The 22,018-nt window shown below is 50.0% G+C and overlaps 1 protein-coding gene across 6 annotated transcripts in view; it reads right to left on the reverse strand.

Annotated features, from left to right (window-relative positions):
* Positions 1-22,018, reverse strand: part of ATP2B2 (ATPase plasma membrane Ca2+ transporting 2) — a 384,094-nt gene that overhangs the window by 277,956 nt on the left and 84,120 nt on the right. For 5 of the 6 annotated variants that reach the window (NM_001438036.1, XM_017006484.3, XM_006713175.5 and 2 more), the window contains one exon: positions 17,939-17,983. The gene's annotated coding sequence lies outside the window, so the exon portion shown is untranslated. Of the gene's footprint in view, positions 1-14,845; positions 14,942-17,938; positions 17,984-22,018 lie in introns of those variants that run through there. The other variant, XM_017006481.3, reaches the window with a different exon arrangement.

Here is a 22,018-nt window from a genome sequence, read left to right on the forward strand (position 1 = left end):
AACCCTGAACGTGACCCTGGACAACCTGAGGCCCAGTGGTGAAGAAGGCCCAGGATGTCCTCCCCGCGCCTGCAGAGGAAGAGCTGAGGCTCCAGCGGCTCTCCTGGCAGCCAGAGGCAGTGCTGGGTTGAAGCCCCCTCGGAGCCCCCTCCCCACTTCCTGCCCTGGCCTCTGCCCCCTCCCTGCCCTCATCAAAATGGAGAAAGCACTGAAAAATTCTCACTCCTTTGGTCACAGAATGTGGGGGTCTGTTCTGGAATCCCACCCACTCTTCACCCCCTTTTTTCTCCTTGTCAGGCTGCTCACATCCCGGGACTTTCCCAGACTCTGCCGTTGTGGAAGTTTCTAAGATGACGGCTGGCCCTCGCTTTCCACAGAGTGTGTCCTTAGACCATGATGCTCAGAGAAGGGATTTCAGGCCACACAGTCAGGACATGGTGCCTGCATCCTTTCATTCTTGGGAGGTTGTCTCAGGGAGAAAAGAACTGGCTCAGGGTTAATGTGCCTTGAACACCTCTGACCTTCTCCCTCCTAACAGAGAGACACAGAGCAGAACTCAGGCAGCGGCAGCGAGGTGGAATTTAATCATAGGATGATTTTTATTTCTTTGTATTTATTTTAATGCTTAGCTCCTGTTGATGACAAGCGATATTATAAACCACTTAATTGCATTAAAAAGTTTCTTTTAAAGAGAACATAATCAGGTAAAATGGTGAACTGATGAAAACAAGACTAAATGGGTAATCGCGTGGGTTGTTTACAGATAAAAACAAATGACTGAAGTTGGAGGGAAACTGACATGGAGGCCAAACTCCACCCTTCACAGGTGGATAAAGCATTTGCCCAAGGTGAGCTCCTGGCAAACTGGGCTTTGAACTGGGCCACACCTGGTACCACACCTCAGAGCCTCCCTCCTCCTCCACTTTTGGGGCTGTTTCATTTCTCTTCTCTCTGAACTGAGCCTCCTTCTTTTCTTAACTTCTCAGCACCCTCTCTTTCACTTTCTCCCACATCCCCTCTGTTCTCTCAAGGCTGTGAAGCCCTATTTAAGGCCATCCTTCCACTGGCCAAGAGGCAGAAACCTGAACTGGTGAGAAACGATGATGAGGTGTGTCAGGAAGAACTCAGACCCCGCATCCAGCCCTGGTGACCCCGGCCCTCTTGAGCTGAGCAAGCCTACAGCAGCAGTTCACCTTCTCTGGGCCTGGCTTCATTTCCTTGGTAAGAAAATAATGACTTCATCCCCCTGGGGTAGAGGCCTAAATGAGCCGATGCCTCTAAAATGCCTAGCACGGTGCCCGGTGTGTTTGGCAGATGCTCGATACACGTCAGTTCTCTAATAGAATCGTTTCTTTTCAAAAGGATCACAGCATTGCTGTGAGTGTCCTTGGTATGTTCAGTGACATTCTTGACAGCAGATGAGGAGTCTTAAAATCGCTTTAAAAATAGAGAAGTAGTCATTTATAATTTGCACACTCATTGTTGGAATGCAAATGCTGCTGCTAAAAGCCTGCTCTCCTAAGTGGGCTTGTGACACCGTCAATCTGCTTAGCAAAGCCTTTGCTTCTGTCAAGTGCAGGTAAGAGCCCTCTTGCAAGCGTTCATGATAACAGAGTTCAGACTTAGCTCCTGGAAATGAGATTTTACTGATGTGGTTACTGTGGGGCCCCGGTAACCCAGCTGTTCTCTACCCTCTGTTCCTCCTCCCCCAGCTGCCCAGATCACGGGGGTAGGGCTAAGAAAAATGAATCAGAGCTGAGGTGTTCACAGATCTTCGTTCTGGCATTACATATCAATCCACCTTCTCCTTCAGTCTTTCCAGGAAAAAAAAACAAATCTAAGCCCAATAAATAGACTTAACTCTCAGACGACAGAGCAACCACAAAGGAAATGAAGGTCTTTTGGGTCCCTGGAGGAGGGTAAGACCCAGTCAGGGTGGAGGTATCATTCTGTCTTCAGCCCTCCCTCCCCTGAGAGATATATGTTTGACTGGGTGGCAGGTCTTCCCTTGGGAGTCCCACAGGCATCTAAACTTAACATGGTCCAAGCTAGAGTTATCACCCCTCCTCCCTCTGCCTCCATACTTTTCTCCTCCCAGATGCCCCAACTTGGTGAGAAACACCACTGAGTTACCCAGGTGGGTCAGGGAGCTGGCAGGCACCTTGGCCTCACCTCCCTCACACTCTCCAAGTCAATCTCTGCATAAATTTGACCCTTCTAGGATCTCTCCTCCCCTCTCACCCCGTAGCCATGGCCCAGGTCACCATCACCTTCTGCCTGGAGCCCTGTTAAGACATCCACCCACCTCCCTAGCTGCCATCTCTTCTCTCCAAGCCAGCCTCCACATGGCAGGTGGGCTAAAGTCATACAACACACTTCCCATTGTTTCACTTCTCTGCCCCAAACCTCACAGTCTCCCCTAACCTTCCGGATGAAGTCCAAACTCCCTAACTCCTCTGCAGACCAAGTATTGATTGGGTGCTTCTTGTGGGCCAGGTCTTGGCCCCCAGCTATCAGACACAAGCCTGTCTGCACAGAGTCTGGAATCCATAGCTTCTCATATCACCTACCACCACATGCCCCACTGTTGGGTCTAAACTAGGACTGCAAACTGGCAGCCCCCTTCTATTCTGTTTGGTTTTCCCAGTGTTGGCTCAGTGTTTTGAAGTCAAGAGATTCCACATAAAAACCTGGGTCCCTGACATCTCTGGAAAACTTGGAAGACCAGGTAACACTAGGCCAGCTTCTCTTCATATTAATAATTGCATGGAGCAGAGTCCTACTTCCCTTTAGAGCCATCAAGCCCTTTCCAATTGGCCACAGTCTCCACCACTCCATATTGTCTTCTACCCAGCCTACTTTTTTCACAGCTCGTGGGTGTGGGGCCTGTGGATATTAAAACCTGCTCCCCCTCCTCCATGTACAGCTTTCCCAGTGCATTCAACTGTTCTTGTTCTGAGCTTTAGCCCCTGCTGATCCCTCCTCCTGGAATGCCCTTTTTACCCTGTCTATTAAAAGTGCTCCTGCTGCTTTTAATAGAATATGCCACAGCCTTCTGTGTCCCCACTGTACAGACATCCTTCCAAGCATCTATTGCACCAAAGCATCCTCGTTTATTAATACTTCCATCTCTGCCACTAGAGTATGAGCCCACTCCACATCTCTAGGGAATAACACACTAACTACTTCACAAAATGGGTCTTCAGGAAATTGTTCATGGGTGATGGGCAGATGCTGACAGTAACAAGAAAATAGCGACAACAATACTAGCCTATGTGCTGGGCTCCAGGCTAAGCATTTCCATACGTCCTCTCATTTAATGCTCAACAGAGGTCAATGTGGGATGCTAGTATCATCTCTATTCTACATATGGAAAGACTGAGGCTGGAGCCCAGGGTCTGATTCCAAAGCTGGCCTGTTCACCATCCCTGGGCAATAGCCTCCTTGCCTCTGTTAGGCTCAAAGTCTTTCTTTTTCCCTGCCTGACAAGTCATGGACCAGAGAGGGCAGGCTGGGGGGAAACTGGGGAACAGTTCTGGGAACCAGAGCTGGGGCTCCTTAGCTTGTCAGGAAATAAAGACCTAAGAACAGTTTGTGAGGCTGGAGCTGGAGGATTGCTTGAGGCCAGCATTTCGAGACTAGCCTGGCCAACACACTGGGACCCTATCTTTACAGTTTTTTTTTTTTTGAGACAGAGTCTCACTCTGCCACCCAGGTGGGAGTGCAGTGGTGCAATATCGGCTCACTGCAACCTCCGCCTCCCGGGTTCAAGTGATTCTCCTGCCTCAGCCTCCTGAGTAGCTGGGACTACAGGCATGCATCACCATGCCTAGCTAATTTTTGTATTTTTAGTAGAGATGAGGTTTCGCCATGTTGGCCAGGCTGGTCTTGAACTCCTGACCTCAAGTGATCTGCCTGCCTCAGCCTCCCAAAGTGCTGTGATTACAGGCGTGAGCCACCATGCCCAGCCCTCTACATTTTTTTTTAAAATCAGTTGGCTGTGGTGGTATGCACCTGTGGTCTCAGCTACTCTGGAGGCTGAGATGGGAGGTTTGCTTGAGTCCAGAAGTTCAAGGCTGCAGCGAGCTACGATTGTACCACCGCACTCCAGCCTGGGTGCAGAGCAAGACTTTAATCTCTAAAAACAAAAACAAAAACAAAAAAACAACCTAAGGACTCGGGTTGCTGTTTCCAGTGGAGGAGTTCAGTGTTCAATCTGGGCTCTGCCGCTTGTGATCTGCATGAGACCCCCGGTGAGATAACGCAGCTCTCTGAGCCTCAGTTTTCTCATCTATAAAATGAGGGTAGTACTGTACCCATATACTCCACGGCCAGAGTGTATGTGAGAGGAGGCAATGCATGTCAAGAGCCTGGCTTGTGTTTAATAGATGGTGGCAATGACTCTTAGCAGAGTCCTTGGGCAAAGCTGTAGTCCGCACCATCTAACCCCAAGATCTCAGCCCCTGACCAGGGGGGTGGAGTTAAAAGCCAGGATTAAGGTCCTTTGCTAGTCTTTGGTGAAGTAGGGAGTGCAAGACTTCCAATCCTCCTGGCTTGTATATTGGGTTGGAGGTCCAGTTCCCTTACTTAGTTAACTCTGGAAGTCAGTCTGAATCCTGTGGGTGGACGTGTGTGCAGCGGAGGTACACATGTGCATGCAGGGGAGTTTTGGAGATGTGTATCTGTGTGTCTGTGCCAGGTAAATGTGTCTACTTTTACAACGGTTTGGAGCACTAATGTGTGTGTCTGTGTGTATGTGTGTTTTACACACCTGCTTATGTATAAGACCTTTCCCCATACTCCTATCCATTCCTCCCTAAGTCTCCCTCAGTCACTGCTGTATCCCCAGGGCCTGGCACATAGTAGGTGCACAGTAAACGTAAGTGTAATGACGGAGTCTAAACACACACACACACACACACACACACACACACAGAGAGAGAGAGAGAGAGAGAGAGAGGGAGAGGGAGAGGGGGAGGGGGGGAGAGAGAGAGAGAGAGAAAGAAAGAGAGAGAGAGAGACAGAGAGAGAGAGAGAGAGACTGTTCCCATCAACCTTTGTCTTAAAAACATTTAATTTGGCAACTCAGGTATGAATCTCATACTTTTTAAAAATGTTCTATCTTTTCCAACTTCACACAGAGACAAGATGTGGCACTGGCTTGGCGGTCGGCAGGAAGCTGGTTGACCACGTACTGGCTGTGTGACACTGGCCAGTTGCTTCTCCTCTCTGATCCACTTGTGTGAGGGTTGAATAAGCCCAGGCAGTGGAAAGCCCAGAACAGAGCCTGAAACAGTGGAGGAAGCTGCAAAGGAAGTTGTTTAGTTGCAGTACTTCCAACCAGGAATCCCCCACAAAGCTGGGCACTCCCAGACCTCCAGCCCTGGACCTTAGAAACCATTGCTCCCTGACATTTCCATTTCTCCTAAGCCAAGGTCTTTTCCAAAGCCAGGCAGAGTCCCTGGACTCCCTGGAGAGGGGTCAGTGGTGAGCCAAGGCAGTGCCCCATTAGCCATCCCCCAGGTATCCCTGACCCCTGCACACCTGGCACCCTGGCCAGGACACAGAACCTTTCTAAATGATCCATTTCTAGGGTAGGCTCTGCACAACCAACCTGCTCAGTGGCATTGCCATTCAATACCTGAAAAATCTATCCACACTAGGGACATGGCATCCACTTTCCACACTTGCACTTAGATGGAAAGGGGGTGCAACCCCAAGCAGCGAGGGCCAAGCTAAGCCTGCTGTAGGTGCAGGGTGAGATCTTTCTGTTTGAGTGTGGCAGCTATCACAAGTTCAGTGACCACATGTAGATTTGGAGGGTGTGTGGATGATAAATCTGGCATTGACTCAGCATCACCAGGGTTTACCATGAAGCTTGCTAGGGCAGGGGTCTAGGGGGGTGATACTATATCGAAGTCAGGTCCCAGTGTGACCAGATTTGACCTTATGACCTCCCTCCCTCTCTCTTCCACCTGCTCCTTCTCCCCTTGTCCCCTCTCTCATCAAGAGGCAGCATCACCCACCCAGGCCTCACTGTCCACTTTGAAATCATCCCTGACACTTCCTTTTCCTTCACGATTGACCCTTGTCACTCAAACTCGGAAAAGAGCAGAGCTGTCCCCTGCTGTCTACCTCCTGACTCCACTGCCTTGGTCTAAGCACTGGCCTCTAGGATTTTTAAGTCATAGCTTTCTTCTCTGGAAGGTCCCTGTCTCCCTCCTCACTCCATCCACACTGTAGTTTTCTAAGATGCAAAGCTGACCACATCAAGCCCCCATTATAAAGTCTGCAGTGCCACTGGGCATGGTGGCTTGTGCCTGTAGTCCCAGCTACTGGGGAGGCTGAGGTGGGAGGATCACTTGAGCCCAGGAGTTTGAAGCTGCAGTGAGCAATGATTGTGCCACTGCACTCCAGCCTGGGCCACATAGTGAGACCTTACCTCTTAACAAAAAAATTAAAATCTTCAGTGTCTCTCACCTGTCTGTAAGACCAAGTCCTGACTCCCTCAACTGGCCTTGGAGGCCTTTGGTGATGAGGCCCTGTCAGTTTCCTCTGCTGGCTCTCTGCAGCCTCTGCTCAGACCTGCCGAGCCCGTCACCACATACGATCACATTTTGTATGTTCAAATCTCTTTGCAGTCACTCATAAGATTTTGGCTGCCCTTTGTTCCCTGAAGAACTCTTACTCATCTGCCAAGACCTGGTTGAAATGGCCCTTCATCTGTAAAATCTTCTCCAGCACCCTGAGGCCCCACTGGCCTCTTCCTCCCCTGGCCAGACCCTCTCTTATCACACCTCACATGGTACTACAGTTATCTAAGAAACCATTCTCTTGGCAAGACTAGGGGCGCTGCTGGGGAGAGGCCTATTTCAGTCCTACTAAATCCCCTGGTGCCTAGCAGGGAGCTGGCGTGCACAAGGCCCTCAATAAACATCTGGTAAAAAATGAGGGAAAGAGCTCAGGTCCTTTGGGGAAGTCCTATAACCCCCTTGCCTTGACTGCAAGCCAACAGCAACCTTCCTTCCCCGGAATTCCGGGCCACCTTGAGTTTTGGCAGAGCCAAGTCCTGCCGCTGCTTCATGGAATGAGCAGGAACGGACTCTGAGCTGTTTCCTCCTCCAATCGAAACAGCCATAGCCCTGGCACCAACAGCTCTATCAGCTCTGTCTCAGGACCCCGTGGCTCTACTGCACCCACGTCCCTCACTTACCCTCCTGGGTGTGTACCAGGCAAGCTGTAACCCAGGAGCAGGCCTCTCCTGTGCCCTGGGCTCTGGGACTCTGGGCTGAGGGTCTGGAGGGCAGGGAGCTGTCTGGAACTCTGGCTGCCAGCAGCAGGGCAGAGACACAGAGAGCCGCTGCTGCAGAGCCCACAGCCGCCCCCACCCATGACTACGGCTCTGGCAGCCGCAAGGAGCCTCCCGGCATCGATCAGCCCTGCTACTCCAAGCCTCCTCGGCGCGCCTGGCTGAAGCCGGGAGCTTTCCAAGTGTGTGTAAAAAGAAAGAAAATGAAAGAAAGTCAGCCAACAGAGGCCATCGGTGGGGGTTGGATGGTAAAGCACTTGCCAGTATAGAAATGCCACTGGTTGGGCAGCGGGAGATCCTCTGACAGGTGTGTGCAAGGGGAGGCCTACCTGGAGGTCCAGGTAACTGAGGGTTAACCCTTTAAGAGCCAGCTCCTCTGCCAACTAGGTTTTGGGTCTTGTTTTGTTTTAATGGGAATGCATACAAAATCACAAGGTGCAGCAGCCCTCACTGGTACTCTCAGCATCTTTAGATGGCTCAGGGCTGATGAGGTGGACATCACTGTCATCCTAAGGGGCTGGGGCACTGCAGTGTCTCTGATCAATTCACGGGGGAGTGGGCTGTTTGGCCTGGCACTGAGTGACCCTTCAAGGACTGCAGCTCCCTCTCTCCCATCCTCGGCCACAATGGGGCTTCTGATGTCACCTCACCATCTCCATTTCCGCCAATGGGCTCATCGCAGCCCTGGAAAAATCCTGACTCAGTCTGACCATTCCTGGTTCCTTTGCTCCTTCCTGTTTCTCTTTTTGTCTTCTTGTGCTTCTCATACACATATACATATACACACATACACACACACACACACACACACACACATATATACACATATATGCATAAATATATATATACATGTATATATATATATATATGACAGGAAAAAATATATATCGTGTGTGTGTGTGTAAAATTTTTTTTTATCTGGCCCACTATTCCAAGCTCTGGCACTGGAGGTCTGATGATCACATTCCTTGAAGCCGAAGGGCATGAGCCTTTCTTCCAACCCTAAATGGGTTGGAAGAAAGTGCAGCTCACTCACGGCTGGCCTCTAGATCACAGATACTATCCATCCCAGTTCCCCACCCCCAATTTTTGAGCCCCTTTCAAATACACGTGTGCCCAGGCACAGCAGGATGTCATGCCTTCGAGGCGGCATCACTAAGCATTTTTCTGCTTCTAGCTGCTTCTCCTCCCCAGCCCACTCACCCCAAGAATCTGCAACTAAACCCCTAAACGTATTCACTGCATGAGGTGAATGGAGTAGTGGGGTTATGGACTTCCGGGTAAAGTGATGGAATGATAGGTTCCAAATTAAGAATGTTCTTGGCCCTGTTCAATCTTCAAGTTTCCTTCTCGCAAGCAAAAGTGAGCCTCCATCCTCCCAAATCCACATATCTTCCTGGGTCTCATCCCTCTCCCCATCTCTTTTCCTTTTCCCCTCCCTTCATATCTCTCTCCTCTGCTTTCATGCTATAAAGATTTGGGAAGGAAATATCAACACATGCTGGAGGGAACCTTAGGCTGGTCTCTCTGGGTCTCGGTCTACCCCTCTGAGAACTGGGAGGCATGGAAGACCCCTGCAGCCCTGGCATGCCAAGAGACTGTGTCAAGCCCAGCAGAGGCTGGAGAGCTTCACTTGGTGACCACACGAGGTTATAACAGTGCATCCTGCCCGGCTGGGCTCGCTGACAGTCCCTCTCAGCAGGCAACCTGCAGCCTGACTCAACCAGGATGCACCCTTTTCACAGATGAGAAACCAGAACCTGAGGGCTCGCAGGGGTGTCTCCATAGATCAGAGACATTTCCAAATCAAACAGCTCCAAATCCACCCTCAGGAGGCACCGTCTGCCTGTTAGAACGGGTGGTTCCCACCACTCCTGAATGAGGGTGTGACTCCTGGTTTTGGGGGGACATTTCTTCGTAATGCTGTCTCCCCACATGTTGTTTTAGGTCATAATTACGCTCCCTGGCAGGGGTGGGCAAGGCCCTCTGACCCTGTTTAAAGACAAGGAACTGTGAGGGCTATGAGCAGGGGCACCTCCCTGGCCTGGGCATGTTTGGCGTTGGGGTGTGGCTGCGGAGAGCTTGGGCAGAGGGGTGTGGGAAAGTATTGGCAAAGGTCAGGGATACATCGGTGTCGTCCAGCCTCCACTCCTCTCCCCTTGAGCTCTCTCTTGCTTCAGTCCTGTCCACCGACATCTGCACTCTCCCCTGGCCAGAGGAAGGCAGCCCAAGGGGTCAAGGAGCTCCCTGAGCCTACACCATCAGTGACATGTGCTTGGGGGGCACTGGGTCCCTCTTTTGAGCGACTCACATGGGACTCACGTGTTCCACTTCTTCTCTGACTGGGTCCTCACCCAGGATCTCCCAAACTCACATAGGCTTCTCTTGTGTTTGAGTCCTCATTTCTGCCCGTCTCCTCGCCCTACCGAACTTTGCCTATAGACATCCTTTCCCATCGTCATTCACTTCTAACTCTGGCAATTCCTAAGAGTGTAACGTTGGACCAGTGACTCCATCTCTCTAAGCCTTAGTTTTCTCACCTGTAAAATGGAGACACCACCAGTGTCATAAGTGTTAGATAGGAGAATGCATTTCAGGGGCCCAGCATATTCCCAGGTACACAGAAGATGCTCAACAGAAATAGCTATGGTTGTTACGCCTATCCTGATTACCCCAGTTAGAAATGGTTTCTCCTGTCTACATTTCTGCCAGCCAGCATCGCATTTTACACTCTCTGTTCTAGAGTATGGATGGTGACTCCCATCTCTCCTCTCCAACCACACTCTGAGCTTCCAGAAGACACCTACAACTCCTGGCTCAGCACTGGGCACACGGCAGGTGCTGCATATGCTCTCTGGCCACCAGGTGTGCTATGACACCTGTGCTATGAAAGCTCCCACTTTAACCCCTCCCCAGGTCCCCAGCCCCTCTGGGCTCTTCACTCCCTATCTCTGCTTCCTCACTAACCGTTCCCACCTTGGTCCTCTTCAATTAGCTTTTGTCACCTCTCCTTTCCAGAAGCAACTCAGCTCAAGATTACTGTGGCCCTCATCTTGCCGAGTCCAGAGGCCATTTCTTGGTCCTCCCCTTCCTTGGCCTGTAGAAGCATTTGACACTGCTGCTCACCCTTCCTTGCAAAGCACTTGCCTGGGGACCCCTGCGTACTCCCTTGGTTCTCCTCCTACCTCTCTGGCCCCTCCTCCTCTATTTGCTTTGCTGGCCCTTCCTCTCCCCACTACTAAGTGTGGGACACTTCAAGGCATAGCTGTGAGCTCTTTTTTTTCTCCCTAAAGACACTGGCTTCCTCAGTTATCCAGCCCCATGGCTTTAAATACGATCTATATACTGATATCTCCCTGAGCTGCAGAGTCATAACTCCAACTGCCTGTGCCACATTTCCACTTTGATATCTAATGAACATTTTAAAGTTAACACATCCACACCATTACCCTCTGTTTTCCTGTACCAAACCTATTGCCCCCTCTCTGGTCTTCTGCTGGTCTTAGTAAATAGCACCAGCCTCCAACTGGTTATATGGTTGTATAATAAAACTTTGACAGGCTTTCATCCCTGGTTCCTGGAAGGCAAACTCTAACTCCTTGGAAATTCCCACATGGTAGGAGTATCTTTGTTATTCATGAACCCCTTAGAGTTTATGCTAAGAGATGAGATGAGTCAGGATGGGGGCTGGGCACCAGAAGGAACAACCATGCCATTACAGAGTTGGGGCTTTGAGCCAGCCTGGCCTCCACCGAGGGGAGGGGGCTGAAGATTGAGTTCAGTCTCATGGCTGATGATTCAGTCAATCATGTCTATGTGATGAGGCTCTAATAAAAACTCTGGACACCAAAGCTCAGTGGAGTTTCCAGTTGGTGAACACAATGATGTTCCTGGGAGGTGATGTGCCTTGATTTCATGCCCTGAAAAATGTGTGGGAGCTCTGTGTTCAGGGCCCTTCCAGACCTCACCCTGTGTGTGGCTGGTCCTGATTTGTATCCTTCACAGCAAAGTGGTAATCATAAAAGCGGCACTTCTCTGAGTTTGGTGAGTCATTCTAGTGAATTATCAAACCAGAGGGGGTTGTGGGAACCCCTGAGTTTGTTGCCAGCTGGTCAGAACTGCGGGCAGCTTGGGGACCCTCCTGGTAGTTGGCATCTAAGTGGGGGCAGTCTTATTGCAGACTGTGCCCTTTAACTTGTGGGGTCTGCATTAGCTCTGGGTGATTAGTGCCCTTGATGACTTATAAAACACCATTGGTGTCAAAACACACCCCATCACCTTTGATTCTTCTTTTTCCTTCTAATCTCACCCCCAGTGTGAGACTAGGTCAGGTCAGCTCAACTGTCACAGCTGTTTGGAACACAGCTACTTCTCTCCTCCACTGCCACTGTCCTGGCCCGGCTGCCATCATCTCTTACCCGGATAATGGTAACATTCTCCCTGCTTCCGCCCTTGCCCCCTGCAGCAGACTCTCCAAACAGCAGCTTGGGGAGCCTGTATCCCCCACCCAGCCCACTCAAGACCCTCGAGTTCCCCACCTCCCCTGGAATTAAGGCACAGCCCCTCACCTAGCTCTCTGACCTCACCTCTCACTTCTCCCTCCCCTGTGCTGTCCTTTGTCTTCCTGGCTTCCTTGATGTTCCCCAAACATCCCAAGCTTCAGCCTGCCTCAGGCTTTTGCTTGTCCCTTTCCCTGGAATGTTGTTCTTGGTTTTCATTCCCTCATTCCAGCCTGAAAGGTCACCTCCTCCAAGAAGCCTTCCCTGAGCACCTTATATAAAGTAGCCCCTCCCCCTCTCTCCTCTCACCCAGCTGTATTCTCCTTGACAGCCTTTACGGCATATTACATATGCATTTGTTTATTTGATTATTGTCCATCTCCCTTAGGAGAATGTCAGCTCCCTGAAGGCAGGAACCACGTCTACTTTGTTCACTGCCGTATTCCTAGTGTTTGGCTCCGTATGTATTTGCTGAATGAATGAATAAATTACGTGCCACCAAGAAAACTGGCCAGCTGGAAGAGGTATCATATAAATGATCTGGTACCTCCTGGAACGTTTTGCTTTCCAGCTGGTTGTTATAAGGATTTATTTACACAGATGTGGCAGGAATCGCTGTAGGGCTGTACAGTTTCAACAGCTTGAGCTCAAGAGAAAAAGTGCTTTGTTAGTAGGTAACAAACAGATGCTCTGAAAGCACAATGCGCCAGGTCATTTCCTTCAAAAATCACAAGATTAAACATAGAAACACAAATGAGAAAAATACATTGAATTGCAGTCTCGTGACTTGGGTTTTAATCTTTTCTCCCGCATCGTAGTTGGGTGAGCTTTGGCAAGTGGCCTCCCCTCCCTGTGCCTCAGTTTTGTTGTCTGTAGAGTGGGGATAATGGTAATACCACTGACCTATGTCCCAGAGTGGCTGTGAGGGTTCTATGAGAGGCAGGATGGAAGCAGGCCCACAGGACTTTATTTGGTTGACTCCCTTGCTAACATCTACCACAGCACGGAGTCCCAAGACATTTAGGCAAGAAATAAAGAGTCAGTACCAAGTAGACCTCTAGGAATAGTGACCAATTTTCAGTCTCCCAGAAAAGCTGCTGAGAGAAGAGACTTTGCTATAAGAGAATAAGAGAAAAATGCTGAAACCAAGTTGTCATATGTCATGGGGCTGTTTTCTCAATCAAGTGTCCCCTCAATTCCAGGATCTCATGCACGGTCCTGGATTCTACCCTGTGAGTAGAGTGAGAAGCATTGGAGACATGGAAGCTGAGCATCACTTGGACACAGAGAACAGGGGGCTGGTGGGATCAGAGGCCAGAGGTGAAGGCAGGAAGCACCCTAAACCACTATTGTCAGGAGAGCTTGGATTTTAGCCTCAGGACATCAGGAAGCTGCTGGAGGGTTACAGTCAGGGAGTGATGCGAGCAGATCTGTGTTTTCAAAGGACCTGTCTGGCTGCTGCCATGGGGTGGGTGATCAGGGACAGGTGTAGGAGCGGGAGCAACCAGGAGGCTGACCCAGTGGTCTAGGCAAGACATGGTGGTGACCTGGATTTTGTGATGTCCCCAGGAGTAGATAGAAGACAATGACAGTCAAGACATGAGCAGAAACGAAGGGAGGGTCAAGGATGACTCCAAGTTTTGGATTTAGGCAAAGACAGGAAGCAAGACATTTGCAGAGATATTTGAGGGTATCTTTGCCACACTCTCACCTTACACTGAGCTCCAACAGTCCAACGGCCAGCCCCTCAGAGTGGTTTTGACCCACAGTGATCTAAGAAGGTCAGCTGACAAGGGACAGAAGGACCTTGAAGCCAGTGTCAAGGTCCACAGAGGTGAAGCTTTGTTTCTGCTAAACTCAGCAACCATCACCATCCACATCCAACTTGCTCATCCTAGTCCTTCTCTCCACCACTGATTTTATAAATCAAAATCACTTTGGAGTTGATGCTAAGAAAAATTATTTTTTATATTCAGATTTTAATGTCCAGAAGCCCATTTCAACTATCAAATTGTTTATCTCTAACTCACTTCTTCTCACTTCATGAGAGTTTCTTAGTAAAATTAATGTTTTCAGGATGAACTATTTTGCTATGGCCTTGAGCAGCCACTCTGTGATAGATGGGCTCAGCTGGGATGGTTGTACTGTTGCTTCTGGGTCTCGCTGGGAAGGTAAGGTGGTAACCAAGTGCACCACCTACTTAGGTGTCTGCATCACACCTCTCCAGAGATTTATTAAGGATGGAGACATGAGTTTTCCTTCCACACTTACCTCCCTCCCCCGATCCCACTACAGTTCCAAGTTCAGTGCTCTGCAAAATAAATGGTCTCAGTTGCCAGGAACAAGCTGTCCCTGTTACAGCCTGAATTGTGTCCCCCAAATTCATATGGTGAAATCCTAACACCTGCCACTTCAGAATGGGACTATATTTGGATATAGGGTTTTTAAAGATGTGATTAAGTTAAAATGAAGTCGTTAGGGTGGGCCCTTATTCAATCTGACTGGTGTCTTTATAAGAAAAAATTTGAGCACAGACATATTCAGAAGGTGAGGATATAGGAGAAGTCAGCTGTCTAGGAGCCAAAGAGAGAGGACTTAGAGGAAACCAGCCCTGCCAACACCTTGGTCTTAAACTTCTATCCTCTAGAACTGTGAGAAATGAATCTGTCGTTTAAGCCCTCCAGTCTGTGGCACTTTGTTATGGCAGCCCTAACATGAATACATGAATACAGGCTCAAAGCCAGCTCCCTCAGAACTGCAGCTCCAGGGACAGAAGGAAGACTATGTGACATTGACCTTGGCTTTGAATAAAAAAATTTGTTTTTGAGAAAAAGAGCACTTTAGAATGAAAAGTGCCAACATAACCATTTTTCTTATACAGCTGACTAGCAAAATGCACACACACACACACACTCATTGGTGGGGGCAGAGGATTTTTTCTTAACTCTAACTCCTCTTTGTGATTATATAAACAGTGAACATTCCACTAGGGGAAATTTAGAAAGTGCAGAAAAGCACAAAGAAAAAAACAAGTCACCTGTTATCCTCCCACACTTTTGTATCTGTTTCTTCTATCTTCTCTTTCTCTCTCTCCCCACTTCTTTCTCTCTTGCTTACTTCTGTTTTTGTCTACCTATTTAAAAAAATACAGTTTAATTTTGGCAAATTGCCTTTTCACTTAATACTGAAATGTGAACATTTTCTCCTCCATTATTAAAAATTCATCTCAAACAGTTTCGATGGCTGCCCAGAATCTTCCTTCTGTGATCTATATTGCCACAACTGACTCCCAGTTCCCTGCTGCTGGCCATTGGCATTGTTTCCTATTGTTAACTAATATAAATACTGCTGTGATACACATCGTTGTAGATCAATCTTTGTATACATTTTGGGTTATTTCCTCAGGGCAAATGTCCTAGAAGTGAAATTACTAGTTCCTTATATTTTGAAAGAGGAAACTTTTTAAAAGCCTTTAAAACTTTCTAGTAGGTTATGCCACTCTCAGGGGTATAACAATGTCTCATCACACATATTAAAAGATTCCCAGGGTTTCTGTTATAATTTTAGATAAAATAAAAAGAAACAAACAAAATAAAACCCAATCTACCCGCCTATAGTCAATACAAGAAAGTGACAGCCATCCCCGGCTAAAATGAAGTTGCCCTTCAGGTGAGAGCCTGGTTACTTAGGAAGGGAACGAAAGGAGGTGGCCTCGCTGTTTGCTCAGCATTCTGTGGAGTGGACACCCATCTTACAGGTGAAGAAACGAAGGCACAAAGGGGTGGAGTCACCCACATGCCCAAGGCCATGCATAGCTTGAGAAGGAAGCAGTCAGGATTAAAATTCAGTTTTGCCTGTCTCCAAAGACCAAGGGCTTAGCCGTTATTCCAGAGGGTCTGAGAGTGCTGGTCTTCACACAGGGACGAGCTGCTGAGCAGGGCAGCAGCAGGACGGCTCCCAGATCCAGCCCTGGTGTCCTGTTCTGCCTTCCCATCTTGCCAGCAACATGAGTGTGCAGGACCAGGAAGACGCAAAGCTGGTGTGTGCCCCAAGGGAGCACGAGCTGGTGTGGCCCACCTGGCCCCCACCAGGTGATGGCCAACATGCCCACCTGGCCATTTGCTCATCTGGGACACAAACCCTTATCGCTGTGTTGACCCCACTAGAATAGCCACAGCTGTGTAACAGCCCAGACAAGGATGCACTAATGAGACTGTGTCTAAGAAAATACATATATAGATAAAAGCAGGAAGGAGAGCAAAAATACCCCAAACATGCCGTGGCAGGGAAGTGAAACTATGAATACATTGTTTTATCCATTGTCCAGTCTTTTACAAACGTAATGTTATTTCTGCAGGGATATGGTGGCAAAACAAGGTATTTGAAGTCAGATGGACTGGGTTCCAGTCCTGCATCTTAATGGTCAAGTGACTTTGGGCAAGTCACTTCACTTCTCTGAGCCTCAGTCTCCTCGCCTGCAGAACGGGGATAATCATTGCGTCTTGTTCTCAGGATGAACCTATGTAAGAGGTGAACCTTAGTACTGTGCCTGGCACATGGTAGGGCACGGCAAATACCAGTTCCCACGCAAATTAGCACCTCACTGAGCCCCAGGCATGAACAAGGAGACAAGGCCCTGCCTTGGGAGGAGCTGAGTGTGGAGAGGAAGAGACAAGGCTATCGAGGTGATGAGCAGTGGAACAGAAGTGACAGATCAAGTCCACATTATTTTCAGAAAATTATCATGCTTTGGGTCTTTAGCTCACGGCAGCAGCAAAATCGGAGGAGGAAGCATGCTTCGCCCCTGCCAGCTCTTTAGTCTCTCCCCAGCATCACCTTTTGCTTTTCCACCAAAAGGTACCCACGCCCCAGCTCCCAGAGGCCTGCTGTCTTCTGGGGCCAATCTGGTCAGATCACTACTACAACACACTTGTATGCCCATGGGTTTCTAGACCTCCCCAGAGAGCACTTGGGAAGAAACCATGAAAGAAACATGTGCTTATTACATAAAACTTAGAAAACACAGAAAACCCAAATTGCCCATAATCTCTAAACTTAGAAGTAACCACAGCTAACCTATAGATGATATTTTGATGGAAGCTTTCAAGGTTTCTTCCCCATCCTCTTCCAAGGAGTGACAAGCATGGTGGTGATTTGGGCACTGTGACAGGTTTGCAGGGAGGGGGTGTTGGGTGGGGCAGGCTCTCTCTTGTCAAACCTTGGAGCAGTGGCTAATTCAGCCTAGGAAGGAAGCCAGTTGCACACACACCCACCCCCAAGGCTGTCAGGGAAGTGCCACCCAGGAGCCACTGGCAGGGGATCCTCTGTGGCCCATTCCAGAGAACTGCCAGATAGTCCCCCAGGGTAAAGTGGCTGTGTCTCCTAAGACTTGTTTGTAAACAGATGGCTCAGAGCCTCAAGCTTGTTTTCTCGGGGACACCATGATGGTGAGGGTTTCAGGCTAGCCCACAGTGGCTCCATCAACCCAAGACAGGGGCCAAAGACTGTGGTCCCAGAGCCAGCTCAATTCAAAAGGCCACTGAGCTCCAAGGACCTCTGCAGGCTCCCAGGCCCCATCCAGGCTTCCCCTTCTCAAGGCTTCAAACCGAAAATGCCCCTCAGTGGACTGACCTCAGGGAGATAGTAATTGAAAAACCATCTGATGGCGTTAAAAGATACTGACGTGTAAATAACAGATATGACAGCCACAGAGCCCACACAGGAATATTGCTCTTTATCCCAAAAGGACATTTAGTAAGCCAAGTGCACTTCTCTTTTGGTGGAATATCACACCAAGGTAAAGTGGCAATGCGTAGGCTCTGCGAGGACAGGGGAGGCGGTCACCGGCTGGAAATAAGCCCGAACTGCAGCTTTCAGACCTGCTTCTGCCTTTACTCCTCCTCTACTAATAGAAGGAGTTTTTGAAAGCCACTGCTGAGGGCTTCAGTTTTGGGAAGTGGGCTAGGGAGGCTGAGTGTTGGGTAGTTGGGGTGGATGATTTCACAGAGAGGCGGTTTGCAAACTGGGCGTTTCTAAATCAAGGCTGCCAGAAGCTCTGGGTGCACACAGATGCTAGTGGGCTTCTATGGGTGCCCCCAGGTGAACCAGGGCTCATGGCTCTCACACTCACCGTCTGCTTGGGGGTTCACAGTCCACGCTCTAAGTACAGGGAAACCTAAGAGAAAACGAGAGCAGAAAAGCACGTTAAGGGGGCTTGTATTTTCCAAGTCACAAACTGGGGGCCAGGGATTCAGATCTGACTGAAACAGTTTTAAACGTACTGTTTGAGCCAATCCCAGTATAGAAACCAGAGGATTTCATGCAAAGTCAGGCTTTCTGGCTCCGCTGGGGAGGGCTGCATCTCTGGGCCAGGTGCCAGCAGGATGGGCTCCCCTCTGCTCTGGTGTCTGATGCTGTGACCTGCACAGCTCAGTTGCGCCTCCTTCCTGGAGACAAATCTCCCAGGCTTGGCTGGGCATCCTCCCCTCTTTGCTGGATCCAGACATACAAACTGGGAACTCTGGAGGAAGACGGCTGGGCTTGTCCCTTAGAGAAATCAAGGGTGAGAAGGTAAAGTCAGGCTCTGGACAAAGTCTGGGGTTGGGGCCCTTTGCAATATTCCTGGCCTGTGGCTCTGGGGACTGAATCAGTCAGGGACTTGGGGGTATCCCTGTCATTTGAGGAGGGTTTAAGGGAGGAACTCTACAAAGGTGTGGCAGGAGTAGGGAAACCTGGAAGGACGGTGCAGCTCCCGGGAGAAGTGAAAGCAGGGGGGATTCCTTTCCCGCACCCCTAGTCCCGAAGGAGATGGGAGGACGGGGTGGCTTCCAGAGAGGGCTGTGCAGAGCAGATGCTTGATGGGAGCTGTCACCTGTGATCAAAGCATCCAGCCAGCCCAAGGTACCCTGACCCTGAGGGAGGGAGCTGGGAGGCTACACATACTCTAACTTCTCTCCCGGTCACTCTATATCTCACCAGAGCTTCTCATTGGCCAAACCTAACATGAAGCCAGAGGGAGAGGGAGCCCATTGGTGCAGCCCCTACCAGCCACCTCCCTGGACACACAGCAGGCAGGATACCAGTGCTGAGCAGATCCTGAGGGGCAAATGGCAGGTATCCGGCACAGTAGCCCTGCCTCCCTGTGTCCTCCTCACTCACAGGGTTCACACCCTCAGCCCCCAATCCAGGGCTAACCAGGTCCTGAGAAGTGTCTGAAGGCTCCATTCTACCTCACTGACCATGAGATGACACCGGGCACTTGGTGCTGAGCTCTCCTGAGCCCTGCTGTGCTGCTCAGCTGGCCTGAGCCTGAGCTTTTGCTCTGTCCTCTGGCACCCCACCCTTGCTACCCTCACCTTAGCACCTGGAGCTTGCTGGGCCCTGATCCTCCCTTCCCCCTCCCTCCATCCTGTTCTCTTCTACTGCACACCCTTCAAATTCCTCCCACTGTTGAGCCAGCCTGTCCCCTTCCCAGAAAAACAGCCCATCCCAGAGTTCACAGAGATCCAGGAGCAGAGTTGCAGGGAACCCACAGCCACGAGGCCAACACAGAGCAGTCACGGGGCCAGCTTGGGAGCCCCAGAGCTCCCCGCCCCAAATCTTTTCTGGGAAAAACACGAGCCCGACAAGAGGCAGCCAAATGCAGGGTTTCTTGGAACCTGGAGCTAGAAGTGATCGTCAGCTCCAGCAACTGCTTTGTATAGATGGGGAAACTGAGGTCAGGAGAAGGGTGGAGCTTGCAGCGGCCACACAGCCAGGGAGTGGCAGTGCCAGTGTTTTGTTTGCTTACCAGGCTGTCCCTTCCTTCTGGCCTGGGATCCATGAGGCTGCGGCCATGTCAGGAGACGGGGAGTTAGCTCCCTTTGACAATAGCAATCTTACTAATAAGGCCAACCTGGAGGGGTTCCTTTGAGCAGGCACAAAGCTAAAATCTGAAACACCTGAGCATTTACTCCTCATTCCAACTCCATGAGGCGGGCACTGCTATTACTCCCACATTACAGATGAGGAAGTTGAGTCCCAGAGAAGTTACATGGCACTCACAGCACAGAAGTAACCACGTCAACATGACGATAAGAACAACTAGCATCGCTGACCAGGCTGTGCTCCCGGGCTGGCCCTGTGCAGAAGCCCACACACGCAGCGCCCCATTAAGCTTTATCTGGAGCAGCACTAGCTGCACGGTCATTGAGACACCCTCTGACTGTTTTGCTCCACACATTTGTCTGCTGACCCTCTGTGGGCCTCTTCCTGATGTCTCCCTGATGCCCATATGAGGCAGAAAGCTGAAAACTGGCCACCTGTCACGCCCAGCACCTTCCAGCCGTGCTCCAGGGGCCCCCCTAGGCTCCCCTGGGCCCACCTGCTCCCTACCCAAGGCCCTGAACTCCTGTAGACTGTAGTGTCATCCTAGAGCTGTGGGCGGCCAGGCCTGTCTTTATCAGCCGTGCCCCCATCTTCTCCACGGGGACTTTTGGGATGAAAGATTGATGAGCAATCTGTCCTCACTAGTGAATTTTTAATTATGGAAGAAAGGAGACCCCAGCCCCTGGCCTAAACCAGGACTGTGAGGAGGATGGTTCTTGGATGTCACCACTGTTAAAATTTCATCTGCATTGACAGCAGCCATGAACTCTGCATCCAGGTTTTTCTGTCCATAAATAAAGGTGAAGGCCTGGGATGGAAAGTAATTGGTGAAATTGGAAAAATCCCCTGACTTCTAACATAGATGGTTCTGGAATGATATGTGAGTAACTGAGCTTGGGACCCCAGAAGGCCAGGGGCAAGTCCAAGCAGAGCAGGCAGTGGATGCGGGAGGCTGAAGCCATCCCAGCTGTTGGAATCTATGATTCTTGCCCTTCTAAATTGCAGGTGACCGCACTTCTCACCCTGGATCCTCTTACAGTCAACCAGCTGAGATGGGGCTGAGCTCAGAGCATGGCCTGGGGGCCTTGCAGAGGCTTTAATCAGGATCAGGGCTCAGGTGAGCCACTGCCCCAGAAGAGCAGGATGCCCGTGGGATTATCCATGACTCAGGTGGGCCTAATTTCACAGGTCGGTCAGCAAAGGGAAACCATTGCCTGGGCTTGAATCTCGGCTCCATAGCTTCCTGGCCCATGTTCTTGAGCAAGTCACTTCAGCCTCCTGAGGTTCAGTTTTATCTTCCATAAAATGGGGGTAGAAACAACCCCTGCAGAGGGCTGTGGTGAAGGTAAAAGGAAAGGATGTATGGAAAACACTGAGCACTCTGCCTGGCCTTGGTCAGCTCTTTTTTTTTTTTTTTTTTTTTTCCCTGAGGAAGGGGCTCTCTCTGTTGCCCTGGCTGGAGTGCAGTGGTGCAACCATAGCTCACTGTAACCTCAAATTCCTGGCCTCAAGTGATCCTCCTGCCTCAGCCTCCTGAGTAGCTGGGAGTACAGGCACATACCACCACACCCAGCTAATTTTTTAAAAATGTTTTTTGTGGAAATGGGATCTTGCTATGCTGGTCTCAAACTCCTGGCTCAAGCAATACTCCCACCTTGGCCTCCTGAAGTGCTGGGAATATAGGCCTGAGCCACCGTGCCTAATTGGTGACTGAGTTCTTGATCAACAACCAAACAAGGAAGAATAAACCACCCATTCTACTTTCAAATGGTTTATAAACTAGTGAGGATCTCACACAGCCCAAAAACAAAACTTGAAAGGAAGAATGGAAGGGAAGAAATCAGGGGTGGAGGTAAGGGATCATTTTAACTTGGGGTGGCAATCAGGGAGGCTTCATTGAAGATGAAAATACACCTCCAAGCACTTTTATCCTTCGAAAGTTCAGGGACTAATCTCCTTGGGCGGAAGGCCTGCCTGCATCCTGAAGGTCTCTCTAGGAAAACTGGGTGACAATGAGGTTCCAGTATGTACCTGGTTCTCTGTGATACCACTGTTCAGTCAATAAAGTCATGAGTCATTGGCTCCAGGAGCCCCAGGATTTCCACAAGTTCTGCCTCCTCCAGGAAGCCTCCCAGGATTGCTTCAGCCCACGTGAACCTCATTCTTCTCATGTGCCAGTAGCACCCAAGGCCCAAACAACATGCCCTAAACAGCCTGCTTCCAAGGGAGAAGCCTTGGGTTCTAATTCCAACTCCACCCTCTACTCCCTGTGAGATGTTAGGCAAATGCCAGCTGCTCTTGGGGCCCGAGTTTCCTTGTCTGTGGAAAAAGGGTTGGACTAGCT

This window comes from Homo sapiens, chromosome 3, assembly GCF_000001405.40.
Source record: "Homo sapiens chromosome 3, GRCh38.p14 Primary Assembly".
NCBI classification, from domain to species: Eukaryota; Metazoa; Chordata; class Mammalia; order Primates; family Hominidae; genus Homo; species Homo sapiens.